Here is a 12,602-nt window from a genome sequence, read left to right as displayed (position 1 = left end):
CCCATGTGAGTGGGAGACCCGGTGCCGGGGCCTCGGCCTCCTGCCCAGGCCCTGTGGCTCACCCCCAGCCCTCCTGGACCGGGTCAGCCGGGGGCCCCCAAGTCTGCTGCAACAGGGGCCACACCCAGAGGGGTGCCAGACACCCGGGGCTGGGGCCACAGGCTTCAGAGCTGCCAGCGGGTCAGGCCCACACGCGTGGTCTCTCCGGCGGTGGCGGTGGGGGTGCAGGCTGGGAGGAGGTGGGCAAAGGCAGCCAAGCCCCAGGCCTGGACACCAAGGTCTGAGGGCACAGGGTGGGGTGGCCTTCCTTCATCAGGGCCCAGGCCCGAAAGCCCGGTCGGGGGGTGCCCAGGGAAAGGCTGAGGCCCCTCACGGGAACTTGGTCTGGGGTGACCTGTGCAGAGGGGTGCTGGGCCAAGGAGGGCAAGGTGTCGCATGGTGACCCACTGCCAGGCGCTAGCCCCCACCCTGCTAAGCAAGCCTTGGGGGCAGCCTGGTGGGCCAGGCAGGGCTGGTGGCTCCAGGGGGCACATTCCAAGGGAGCTGCAGGAAGTGGAGACCCTGACACGGGCGGCCACATGTCCTTGTGTCCACACCGTGAGGCAGTAACACGCTTCCTGGCTCACACCCTGACACCCACCCACATGCAGACGCCCGTGTCCCTGGTGCTTCTGAGAGACGTCTCCCCGCGCACGAGGGGCTGGCTGTTGCGCACGTGTGCCCAGACCCGGCCTCCGGAGACTCACGTGCCCTTTCACTCCTCTCCCACACTCAGGGCCCTGGCTTTTGGGGGCTCTGGGGTGAGGGCTGTGGGCCCAGTTGTCCCGACCCCCAGGGACCTTCTCGCCGCCGACGCTGCCCGAGGCCCATCCCCCACACTGTCTGTGGAGACATTGTCCTGGCCACACAAAGGGGACGGGGCAGCGGCTGGGTGGGGGAGGGGCTGGGGTTCGTGGGAACTGCCCTTCCGGGGCCCTGGGGGCGGGGGGACAGGGGGCAAGGGGGCAGGGGCGAGGCCTCTCCAGGGCTGCCACCCTCAGTCACAGGCTCCAGACGTTCCCGGGGCCTTAGGGCGGGGGTCACTGAGCGGGTGGCTACCAGCTTGCTCCACGGGGATAGACTGGGTTTTAAAAGCTTCCCAAAAGACGGCCGCTATCCCCAGCTGCACACACCTCCCCAGGGGCCAGGGGCTCGGCCTTCCGCCCACCCCAGCACTGTCTCCAGTGGAAAGTCAGTGCCGGGACTGGCCAGGTTCTTTTGGCAAACTCGCAACTCCCTTCTCTCTGAAGAGGCTCACAGTGCCACAGCAGGGGACAGTGTCGGGTCACCTTTGGGGCGGGCAGCCCAGGGCTGCAAGGCACTCTGGGGACAGCGTGGGAAGGTGAGGTGTGGGCCAGACCCAGGCCTCGGCGGGCAGGTTGGTGCCTGATTGCTTCTTCCTGGGCCGCTGGCTCGCCCTGTCCAGCAAGGTGTCAGGCCCACACCCCAGTCCCCACCATCGGTTGGGCGGCTCTAGGGGAGGTCAGAGTGCACAGGGCAGCCTGGGGGCCTCAGGACCCACCCAGGGGCTTGCCAGGGACCAAATGTGCAATGTCCATCCTGGGACGGCACACTGGCGACCCCCGCCAGCATCCCTCTTCCCGATGTGAGGATCTCCGCACACAGTCCTAGCCGTGCAGAGGCCTGTCCAGGGAAGGTGCTGGGCACCCTTTCGTGTGGTGGGTGGTGGGACGGAGTGAGATTTTATCTTTGCTCTTTCATGCTTTGCCGTTTTCCCAGTTTGCTCTAAATGAGCAGAAATGTCCTGTTGCTCCAGAGTGTGCTCCTACAGCCCCATCGCCCTGCCTGGTGGCCTCAGGCCTTGACTCCTCCTGGACCTGCCTGCAGGGTTGGAAATCCCAGGTTGGCAACTCCTGCAGGAGTTCCACCCAGGCCAGGGCCCCAGCCCGACGGACCCCACCTGCCACACCCCCCATGGGGCCCAGAGGGAGGAGTGCAGGAGACAGGCCTGGGCTGAGGTTGCAACAAGCTTGCTCTTTGCTCAGAAGCAGGAGGCCCCAAAGAGGCCCCTGCCACCCTCACACTCCCACCCCACCTTCTCAGGGGGTCATGTCTAGCTGGGCTTGGGCACAGAGCAGAAACCCCTCAGGCCAGATCACCCGAGGGACCTGGGCTCATTCCCAGCCTGGTGGTGGGACCTGAGCTCCACTGGGCTAGGAGAGCAGGGGCTGTGGGAGTCCCCAGGGTGGCCGGCAGGCAGGAGGGATGCTCAGGTCACCTCTGCCCAGGCCCAGCAGACACCTGGCCCAGTCTCTTGGAGGAGCAGAGCTCCCTTCCCAGGCTCCCAACCCAACAGGCCACTGCCTGCTGCCCTACACCCCAGGACACGGGTTCCCCACATGCTGTGGCCCTGGCAGGTCCCAGGGCTCGTGTCTCGCCCTCCTCTTTCCCTCAAGCCTCCGACTTGTCGAGACCCAAGGCCTCAGGGGTGGGTGGGGTCCAAGGGTGTTGTGTGCAGGGGCTATGTGCAGCTGCCCAGTCCTGTCTGCCTGGGAGCGTCCAGTCCTCCCTCACCACTCCTGTGCACCAGCCACCTATTGCTTGGGATGCATAGGCTGGCACACCTGCAGGCCTGCAGCCTGGGGCAGTGGGTGTGACCCCTACACCCAAGTGGGCACCAGGTCAGGTGGGCACCAGGTCAGGTCAGGTGGGCACACAGACACTGCTGGAGGCACATTCTGCAGCCCAGCGCTGGCCCCTTCAGCTGTGGTCGCTCCCTTGGTGGTGGGGGTGGGAATTGGGCCTACTCGTGGGTGTGGCTCCCAGCTTTGATGCTCAGAGCCCCCAGACACCCTGGGAACAGACCCCTCGAGCCCTCCTAGCTGCTCACCCCACCCTAACACATCTTGGCCTCTGCCTTGGTCCTGAGTGCGCCTCCCCAGATGGCCAGCTCTGGGGCAGTGGCTGAGCAGCTCTTTCCCTCACTCCTCCTTGGGCCTGGAGAGGAGAGGGCCCTGGAGGGTGGGCGTCCACTCAGACCCACTTGGCTGTGGGTCCATGGGCCCCAACATCCCCAGGACAGCCTGGCTGGTGGCCCGGCCCCCAGGAGGCAGCCACACGCCCACGGGCTCGTGGCCCAGCCCGCACAGTCCCGGGCGGAAGTGCCCTGTGTCAGGGCTGGCACGGCGCTGTTGGCACCCAGTGGCTGAGGAGCGTGGGAACCAGGCACACGGGGGATCCTGGGCAGGTAGCTGGGAGCCTTCCCAGCCATTCCTGCCCCCCATTCACCTGGGCCCTCCCACCCCGCCCTCCCAGTCAGGCTCTGGGGGTGGTGGCTGCCTGCCCTCGGGCTCTCAGACTGGAGGGGGTGGGGTGGAGGTGCCCAGGCACCCCGCTGTGCTGCTCTGGACCCACAGCCTTGACCTCTGCTCAGGGTCCCCGTCAGGCCCCACTTGTCTCTGCCCAGACCCGACGGCACCCTGGAGTGGGTGTCTGTGCGTCCCACACTGATGGAAGGAGGCGGCGTGAGAACCCTGGCATGGAGTCCTGGCCCGCCGAGTGCCCTGTGACTCAGCAAGCCCTCAGAAGCCCCTTTTCTTCAAAATGGGAGGGCAGGGGCTCTCAGCCCCCGAGTGCTGGGGGGCGGGTCTCAGGGTATCAGGCAGGTGGTCTCAGGTGGACGATCGCTGTCCAAAGGCAAGACGTGCGCTGGGCCACCAGCACCACTCACTCCCTCAGCCCGTGGCAGCCACCCGCCCAGGGCAGTCGGTCCAGCAAGGGCTGCCAGCCCTGGAGTGGACAGATGGACAGGGAGGCCCTCGCTGCCAGGCCCCCCTGTGGCTGGGGAGCCCAGGTCCAAGGGCGGGCACAGCCAGTGGGCCCAGAACCGGCTTTCCCAGCCCTGGCCGGGGCAGGGCCTCCCAGGGCCTTGTGGGTGACAGCAAGGCCCACAGCGGGCAGCAGCCGTGGGAAAACCAGCACCGGTGGTTCCCGAGGGTGGGGCCAGGCCCTCACTGACGGCACCCGGTGACTCAGCACGAGCTGGCTGGCCCCGCCCAGGCGTGCGCACCTGGCCCAGGTCCTGGGAAGGCCCCGGACCCCATGTGGAGTATTTGGGGGTGTGGGGAGCCCATCCCGCACTGCTGCAGCCTCGCCACCTCTCCTACACCCACTGGCACTGTCCCTACAGGTGGCCTGCACAGTGGAGAGTGGGGCTCTGTGGAGGGTGGACCACCTGCTTGTTCTCAGCCCTTCCCAGCCAGACCTGCAGCCAGGGCTCTCCACCCACACACCTGCCCAGGAAGCCTGCTGGACCCAGATCTGGGCTGGGCCCAGAGGCCAGGTCACAGGACCTGCCATCATGGCACAAGGAGCTTCCTGGTGGGAGAGATGGGAGCTAGCGGAAGAGGAAGGGAGGGTCCTGTCTCCCTAGCCCAGCCTGGCGTCCTAGTAGAAGAGCCCCACCTGTCCAACACCTCCAGCCCCAGGGCCCTGAACTGGTGGGGGCTGCAATGCTGGAGGCAGGTAGTGCAGCCTCTTAGTTTCGAAAGGCTCAGGGGAAGACAGCGTGTGGGGCAGGGCCGGTGCCCCCAACATGGCCACACCCGGAGGCTCCAGGGGCCTCGAGGCCACCTGCCTGCGGCAGCCATGTCATCTGGGGCTCAACCCAAAGCCCCTGCATGGGGAGGGGTCCTGGAATAGCCATGTGACCATGGATCTCGGCCTCCTCTTCCCTGCTCCCCTGCACAGATGGCCTGGAAGCCCCACCTCCTCCCCAGGGTGCTCTGACATCAGAAGGGCTGTGACGGGAAGGCCACACCTCCACAGGACCTGCAGGTGCCTGCCTGGGACCTGGCTCTCAGTGGGCACCCAGCCCCCTCCTGGCATTGCCAGGGGAGTCCTGGGTATCTGACCCGTCTCTTTGTCCAGGAAGTGACCACTGGGAAGGCCGTGCACCCCGCTCCAAGTCAGGACTCGGGTGTAAGCTGGTCCTAGCCTCCCGGCCTCCCTGCCCCCACCCCCAGCATCGCAGTAAGCCTGGCAGGTTGGTCATACTCAGAAACCACCCAGAGGGGCTGGGCGTGGCACACACCTGGAGTCCCAGCACTTTGGGAAACCCAGATGGAAAGATCACTTGAGCCCAGGAGTTCAAGACCAGCCTGGGCAATATCGTGAGACCTCATCTCTACGAAAAATACAAAAATTAGCTGAGTGTGGTGGTGTACTACTCAGGAGGCTGATGTGGGAGGCTCATTTGAGCCCCGGGGCTTCAGGCTGCAGTGAGCTGTGATTGCGCCACTACATTCCAGCCTGGGTGACAATGAGACCGCATCTCAAAAATAATAATAATAATGCAGCCATGGGGGCCCGTTTTGTGCCCTGGACAAGGCACACAGTGGTGTTGCTCCAGCCCCCTCGCCACTTTCAGGGCCACACCTGCCCCAGGGCAGTGGGAGGCGCAGGTATCAGGGAAATGTGGATGTGGAAATGGACAGGTCAGGGGTTGGGGCAACTATGGGGCTGCCCACGCTGACCCCTTAAGGCTGGGCCCTGTGTCCAACACGCCAGCTGAGGTGGCCCACGGGGGACCCAGACCTGGTTCTGCCCTCGAGGGCTCTGGGATTGGAGAGGGCAGCTGGGCAGAGAGTCCCACAAGTTCTCAAAAAACAGAAGAGGCTTCCCAGGGCCCATGAGAAGCCAGCACAGTCAGGGAGGGCTTCCAGGAGGCGGTATGGCCTGAACCCCACAGGACTATGCGTGGGGACAGGAGGGGACCCATTATCTGTCTCTGTGAAACCCCATGGCCAGACCCAGAGCTTCGAGGAGCGAGCAGAGGGCTGGGGTATGGGGCACCCGGAGAAGCCCCGCCTGGGCCTCAGCACCCCCTCTGGCCCCCAGGCCTGTAACTGTGACCAGTACCTAAAGGTCTCCAGGGACATGATGAAGCAGCTCATGTGGCTCAGCAGTCACCAGGAGGGGCCCAGGAGCTCAGGTGAGTGTGTCAGGGTCAGGCACTGGGTCTGGGGGGCCTGGGATGGGTCGACCTACTGAGGTAGCCAGGGAGAGGGGCCTGGCCCGTCCAGCACTGAGCTTCCTCAGATAAGGGTGGCAGCCAGGTGACGACAGGTGGAAAAACCACAGCCAGGTGACAACAGGTGGAAAAACCACAGCCAGGGTCAGGTACCCAGATGGCCTCTGCTCCCTTCTGTGTGGTAGCAGACCAGAAGATCAGGACACCAGGGCCCTTGGCGACCCTCTGGAGTGGTGTGCACCTCCTTCTCTCTGCTGGGCCCAGGCATGCGGTGCACACAGACACACACACACGTGCACCTACACCTGCACACAGCACTAGCTGACCCCAGATGTCCACCCCCCCAGGGAAGGCCCCAGCCTGTTTCCCTGCCTGGGAAACTAGAAAGAGGGCTTCTTTCTCCTCCTGTGGAGGGTGCAGGCCGCCCAAGGACTTTGCAGTTTTAGATCTGCACGGGGGCTGGAAGTATGGCCCCCGCCCCGCCGCCATTAGAACTGCTGGCCCCTACCCTCGGGAGGGAGGCGCCCCAGGGAGGGAGTGAAGGGTGCTGCTCCTGGTCATCCTCAGTCGGGGGCTGGCACGGGGGCTAAGGGAATGGAGGTGGATAGAAAGAGGTCAGTCCAGGCTGGGCGCGGTGGCTCACGCCTGTAATCCCAGCACTTTGGGAGGCCGAGGCGGGCAGATCACAAGATCAGGAGATTGAGACCATCTCAATGGTGGTGGCTAACATGGTGAAACCCCGTCTCTACTAAAAATACAAAAAATTAGCCGGGTGTGGTGGCACACGCCTGTGGTCCCAGCTACTTGGGAGGCTGAGGCAGGAGAATCACTTGAACCTGGGAGGCAGAGGTTGCAGTGAGCCGAGATCACACCACTGCACTCCAGCCTTGGGGACAGAGTGAGACTCCGTCTCCAAAAAAAAAAAAAAAAAAAGGGTCAGTCCAAGTTCAGGGTGGGAGGACGGGGAGCGACCATCACCCAGGGTGGCCAGCAGAGCACACCCCGGAGAGCGAGGCTGGAGGTGGCCTCCAACCTCAGGTCCCCCGCTCGCAAAGACACACTCAGACCAGAGCCCCAGGACATGACGGCACACACCCCACCCGAGGGTAGTGGGCAACACCCAGATGGGCTGACGAGTGTGACAGGGACTGCAGGGTAAGAGCTGGGGCCAGCCAGGGAGGGGCCAGATGAGGGTCATGGCCTCCTGGGCTTCAAGGAGGAGCTGGGGCTGGGGTGGGGGCGTGGTGCATTCATCCCCGGCCGCAGCTGATCTGGAGCCATCTGTAGCGAAATGCTTGCTGAGCAAATTACGAGGGTCAACAGGAGCAGGGCAGACGCTTCTCCCACCTGCTGGCCAGTGTTCCCTCGGCTACCGTGCACTCAGCCCCACAGTGACCCCTGAGTGGATACCGGCCCTGCCTGCCCTGGGCTCTCAATGGGGGCTCGGGGCCTCACAGGGCCAGCACGAGCCACTTCCCAGGGTCTCCAACAGACCCTGAGCCTGGCAGTCCCTGGGCCCTGCCCACCCGCCCACCCTTGTGCTGGCTGATTTCGAAATTCACTCACTGGCAGTGGGCTTATCTGCTCATCACCACAAATGGGCTGCCCCCGCCCCCGCCCGCCGGTTCTCAGGCCCCCAAGAGCCCTAATCAGCAGATCTCGCGCCTAGAACATGTTTCCCAGGGACCTTTGAGCCCCAAGACCTTTCCGAGGTGTGAGTTCCCAAGGGAGGGGACCAGGCCGGTACCACAGCTCCTTGGCCCCCTGCCCTCTGCCCGTCTGCGAAGGCTGGGGGGTGTGTGAAGAGGCTGCACCCCATGAGGTGACTGTGCTCAGCCGCATGGCTGCGTCATGGACCCCGCTGGCTGCCAAGCCCCATCCCTAGGACAGTCCCGGACCAGCTCTCTTCCTTGACTGACAGGTGACGAGGCCACCCAGAGCCAGGCGGTGCAGGAGCCAGGTGAGCCCCGGGACCGCCCACCAAGGACACAGCTGCTTCTCTGCGGCCCTGGTGCCAGGCTTCCCCCAGAATGGGGGACTTGGGTCCCGGCCGGGCAGAGGGGGCTCTGTGGGGCTCCTGTAGGCCCTAGGGCCTGCAAGGTGAGGGGTGGGGTCCCTGGATAGGAGAAGTGGGCACAGAAGAGGAAGTGGAGGACGCAGAGTCAGCGGATAGGGAGCAGAAAGAGGAGCTGCTGAGGAGTGAGCGTGGGCTCAGCGTGGGCCGCCAACTGCACCACTCTGGGAGCAGCCTGGGGGCCGTGCCCGAAGGCTGAGGGCTCAGGGAGTCCACTTCTATCTGTCCAGGCCCAGCCCCAGACGCAGCCCCTGAGGGCTGCACCTATGACCGCCCCTGCCGCTGGCTGCAGATGGCTGACCTGCGGGCGGAGACACCGGACATGCTGGCCGACGGCACCCGGCTGCAGCTGGCAGGGGTCCCGGTGGGTGTGCTGAGGACACCTGGGCTGCGGTGCTTCTACTGCTGCACGGGCTGTGGAAAGGTCTTCTGGGACGGCTCCCACCTGGGTCGTGTTGCCACCCACTTCCGAGACATGCTGGAGAGCGCCCCCAGCCCCTGCGAGCCGAGCCCAGCCCCCAGCCCGGCCAGCAGTCCCTTCTGAGGACAGCCAGACAATAAACATGGAAAGTGCCCGACTGCTGGGCCCATGGCCGTGGACTGGCTCACATGTTTCATGCTCGCCCCACAAACCCCTCGTGGGCCCCTTTGTGCCAGCAAGCGCTGGGAACACCAAGGCGGGGTCCCAGCCCGAGCCGCTGTCGGGGGAAGACAGGGTTTCCAGATGGTCAGGATGCTGGGACCCCGAGCCTGGTGGGACCCACGAGGTCTCTCCATCACCCCCGTCAGGGCTGCGTGATTCCCACGGGAGAGCAGCAGCCACAGCCCCCACTAGAGGCACCTGGGCAGCCGGCCATGGCCAGGGCTCTGCACACGTGGACGCCAACGTCTCCGTCCTCACAGCTGCCTGGACGTAGCTGCTGCTGCCCCTGTCTGGGAGGAGGCTGAGGCCCAGGCGGCCACTGCTGCCCACCCTGAGGGTCCGAGGGTGCTCTGTCAGGTGGAGCAGGGAGGGCAGGGGGTCCCAGAGGTGGGAGAGGAGGAGAAGCCCGGGGAGGGACCATCCCAGGAATGTACCCCCTCCCCTCACCCACATCCTTTTCCTCTGCTTCCTGCCTGGAGCGGAAATCAGCTCAGATTTGGCCGAGGAGGTGGGCGGAAGCCTCGGGCAGCAGGGGCCTGGGGGCGGGCTGGGGAGAAGCAGCCGCCTCTGCCCAGAGTAAGGAGCAGGCTTCGGGTGCGAAGGCCTTGGGCATCCCTGGACTGGCCCAGTCGGGGCCTCCCTGTGGGTCCCGACCACACCAGGGCTGGCCACTGCCCCTGGGTACCCCTAAGGACTGCAGCCCAACCCCTTCAGCCCCCAGCAACCCCAGCAGGGGTGTCATTTCACAGATGGGGAGGGGGAGGCTGAGACGGGGAGGGCCTGGCCTGTGTCAGAGCCAACTCGAGTTTTGACCTGCCCCCTTGACCTGCTGGGCAGCCGCAGGGCGTGAGCCTGAGAGTCAGGTGGGGGCACCAGGGTGAGCAGAGCAGCACCCCAGGAGAGGGTCAGGGCCTTCTGGGACCGGGATCTGCTTCCGGGAGGGGAACCCCAGCTCCACATTCCTGTCCTGGGGAGGCAGCCCCGGACCGAACTCCTGCCTGGCAGGGTTTAAGAGGGAGTGGCTGAGGGCACCCACCCTCCACCCGGCCTGGCTGCATCCTGCTCCCAACACAGGCCCAAGTGCTGCTGCTGGCTCTCGGCAGAGGGAGGCAGAGTGGTGCAGAGGCCGCAAGGAGACAGAACCACACATCCTCCGTCCCTCCCGGCTGGCCCCGCCTCCACCCGCCCTCACTTTCCGCCATGGCCGTGCTGTGCCATATGTGTTTCCCGCCTCCACACGTCCCTCACTACCCAGCATAGGCTCGGCCTGGCTCTGCGGCGTCCATCCCAGGCCCAGGCTTTGGTGGGGGTGAGGCTCTCTGCCCAGTTCCCATCCTGGTCCAGGTGCTGGAAGCACGCCTCGGTCACTGGGGTCAGCACCCATCAGGCTGCTTCCTGGGCTAGGGGACAGACACCAGGCTGACCGGGTGGCCGAGGCTGCCAGTGCCAGGCCATGCCTTGAGCAGCCATCCCGGCGGGCAGGAGCCACCGGTTGCAGGGATTGTCTGCGGCAGTTCCTGCCCGGGCGTCCTTCCTCCGCCGCGGCCTGTGCTGGCCCGGGCTGAGTGTTTGTTATTTGATCTCGATCCTCTCAGCCCTTCTACCAGGTGTCTGGGCTGCTGGGAAGAAACACTCTCCTCTTTCCCACGCTCCCGACACATTTTAATGAATTAGCTGGAAGCCCCGCCCCCACTGCCCGCCACCCTCCCTCCCTGCTTAGCGCCTTTAAGGTGGCCGCAGGCCTCGGCCCAGCTCTGGCCAGCTGCCCCTTCTGCGCTGTCCTCCCTGGGCCCTCCCAGGCGGGCCGGCCACCCCGCACAGACCTCCCTCCCCATGTTGCCCACTGCTCTGAGCCTCCAGGGAAGGAAGGAAAGGGGGTGCATGCAAAGAGAAGGGGCCCCACCATTGCCTTCTGGGGGCAGGTGGGTTACAGGCAGGGCACCCCCGGGGCCAGCATCCTCAGGACAGGCAGGGGAGGAAGGACAGGGCCCAGCTGCACAGTCGGAGCTGAGCCTGTTGCCAGGTCCCAGGGCAGGGCCTCCCAGACAGCAGAAGGCTCCAAGCAACACCGGCAAACACCAGGGGGTCCTCTCGAGCACAAGTACTGGGTGGCTGGAGGTGGACCCCCGTGTCCCAGCATTTGGAACAGATGTCCACCTTTTGGATGTCCCTCAGCAAACATTCGGGAAGTGCTGACTCAGAGCTGTTGCCCCCCCGGCCCCTCCCCCCTTCCCATCCTCAAATGGAGCAGCTTCAGGGCCGTGGGTGTGCCCAGGGGAGCTGGGAGCCACGGTGGAGGAGCAGGAGCCAGGGCCACTCAGCGAACTCCCTGTGGGCAGTGTGGTGTGGCCAGCCTCTGAGTCCCACAGATGAGCCTGGGTACCTGCCTTGGGCCACAGCCACACTGCCGTGGCAGGCCCCACCACCTCTGCCTGACCCCGCTCTGGACCCCGGGCAGGGGGTAGGTTCCCGCCCTGCAGGGCCGCCACACCAGCCTCACTGTGCCTGCCGGGGCGCCCGCACCGCCTGGCCCTCGCCAGGGGCCGCTGCCGATTTCACGCCCGTGGCGGGGCCCCGCGTTCCCACACCGAGCTCACACAGGGCCCCTTTGTTTGCCGCCGCCACGGATGCCGACGGCACTTTCTCCCAGGCCCTGCTCCTGGCCCACAGCATAGCCAAATGCCTTCTCCAGGCCCGGCTTGAGCCCACCTGGGCTTCGGCCTGTTTGCAAACCACCCACCCTCCAGGGGAGGCCCTGTGCCTGTTGAGCACCAAGGGCTCTGCCCACCCCCCAGTCATGCCCTCTGCCTCTTGCCAGTCTAGCCTGGCTGGGCCCTGGGCATATGCACAAAATCCATCAATGCCCAGGACAGAGCTCCTGCCCTCCTGACAGTGAGCTCAGAGCACCCTGCACACCCAGCCCTGGTCTGAGGTCCAGAGACACAGCCAGCACCAGGGACCAGCAGGCAGCCCAGCGGCTCCCCCTCCTTAAGAGGCCAAAGGTGCCCAGCAGAGCACGGCAGGCCAGGCCATGCCATCCCTGCCCCGGGCCTGGGCTCCACAGCGCCCATCTCTGTTCTGCTGGGGGCCTACTCCGGGACTCCACTGTGTCCTCACCTGCATATTGGGGAGCACCCCTCCACCCTCCGTGGCCCCCTTGAGAGCTCCTGGGAGAAGCAGTGAGGCCCAAAGGAGAGAGCTGAACAGAACCAGCGGGATCACGGCCCCAGGAAGACCAGAGCGAGCTCTGAGCTGTGCCTTTGAGGGACAGAGGTTCCCAGCCCACCAGGAGGACCCCAGGGCCTCAGGACCCTGCTCCGGTCAGCCAGGGTCTGTCCCGAAGGGAGCCTGCCCAGTTTTTCCTGCCAGTATGGGCACAGCATGGGGTGGGGACACACCCCTGTGGGGAGCCGGATGTGGGGACATGGAGCTGGTGGGCGGAAGCCTCCTCAGACAAGGCCTGGCATGGGGGTCTCCCCAGCCCGAGCTCAGAGCTGCCTGCGCGGAATTCCCGGCTTGGCTTCAGAAGGAATTCAAGCCCCAGCCTGCCTGGCCTCCTGCTCCGCGCCTGAGAATCACTCCTCCTTAATTTCCAACGACCACAGCGAGTTGTAAACTGTAAAACTCTAATGAGGAAATGCGCTGTGCTTCCCCTGCTAGTGCCTCCCGGTCAATTGTTAGAGTGGTCAATAAAAATGGGTTTTACAGTTTGGAAGCCAGGCGTTTCAGAATTCCCTTCTGGCCCTGGCGCCACACCTAGCCCTGCTCACCTGGGCAGGACCTATGTGTCCCGCATGCTGGTGCGTGGGCAGCAGAGGGAGGCAGGCCGCGGTCCCGACCCTCCCGCTGCGCCC

General features: G+C 65.3%; 1 protein-coding gene across 6 annotated transcripts in view, besides 5 other annotated features; it reads left to right on the top strand.

The window, feature by feature from the left end:
• Nucleotides 1–8,703, top strand: part of EXD3 (exonuclease 3'-5' domain containing 3) — a 116,267-nt gene extending 107,564 nt beyond the window's left edge. For 4 of the 6 annotated variants that reach the window (XM_047423543.1, XM_011518810.2, XM_047423542.1 and 1 more), the window contains 3 exons: nt 5,809–5,992; nt 7,953–7,991; nt 8,336–8,703. In XM_047423543.1, the coding sequence (XP_047279499.1) occupies nt 5,809–5,992; nt 7,953–7,991; nt 8,336–8,649 (537 nt within the window). In that variant the 3' untranslated portion in view covers nt 8,650–8,703. The remainder of the gene's footprint in view (nt 1–5,808; nt 5,993–7,952; nt 7,992–8,335) is intronic. The other 2 variants (NM_017820.5, XM_047423544.1) reach the window with 1 other exon arrangement.
• Nucleotides 15–950: an enhancer, noted in NCBI's record as "H3K27ac-H3K4me1 hESC enhancer chr9:140209101-140210036 (GRCh37/hg19 assembly coordinates)". NCBI's record gives its function as "activates a minimal SCP1, AML or CMV promoter by ChIP-STARR-seq in primed H9 embryonic stem cells {active_cell/tissue: H9 hESC(primed)}" and the evidence as "EXISTENCE:reporter gene assay evidence [ECO:0000049][PMID:30033119]".
• Nucleotides 3,387–4,308: an enhancer, noted in NCBI's record as "H3K27ac-H3K4me1 hESC enhancer chr9:140205743-140206664 (GRCh37/hg19 assembly coordinates)". NCBI's record gives its function as "activates a minimal SCP1, AML or CMV promoter by ChIP-STARR-seq in primed H9 embryonic stem cells {active_cell/tissue: H9 hESC(primed)}" and the evidence as "EXISTENCE:reporter gene assay evidence [ECO:0000049][PMID:30033119]".
• Nucleotides 4,309–5,231: an enhancer, noted in NCBI's record as "H3K27ac-H3K4me1 hESC enhancer chr9:140204820-140205742 (GRCh37/hg19 assembly coordinates)". NCBI's record gives its function as "activates a minimal SCP1, AML or CMV promoter by ChIP-STARR-seq in naive H9 embryonic stem cells {active_cell/tissue: H9 hESC(naive)}" and the evidence as "EXISTENCE:reporter gene assay evidence [ECO:0000049][PMID:30033119]".
• Nucleotides 7,605–8,522: an enhancer, noted in NCBI's record as "H3K27ac-H3K4me1 hESC enhancer chr9:140201529-140202446 (GRCh37/hg19 assembly coordinates)". NCBI's record gives its function as "activates a minimal SCP1, AML or CMV promoter by ChIP-STARR-seq in primed H9 embryonic stem cells {active_cell/tissue: H9 hESC(primed)}" and the evidence as "EXISTENCE:reporter gene assay evidence [ECO:0000049][PMID:30033119]".
• Nucleotides 7,995–8,114: an enhancer, noted in NCBI's record as "active region_29351". NCBI's record gives its function as "activates an Ori minimal core promoter by ATAC-STARR-seq in GM12878 lymphoblastoid cells {active_cell/tissue: GM12878}" and the evidence as "EXISTENCE:reporter gene assay evidence [ECO:0000049][PMID:35858748]".
• Nucleotides 8,704–12,602: the final 3,899 nt, after the last annotated feature.

Source organism: Homo sapiens, chromosome 9 (assembly GCF_000001405.40).
Source record: "Homo sapiens chromosome 9, GRCh38.p14 Primary Assembly".
Lineage (NCBI taxonomy): Eukaryota > Metazoa > Chordata > Mammalia > Primates > Hominidae > Homo > Homo sapiens.
Note: the sequence above shows the minus strand (reverse complement) of the source record. Positions and strands in the feature narration are given on the sequence as shown.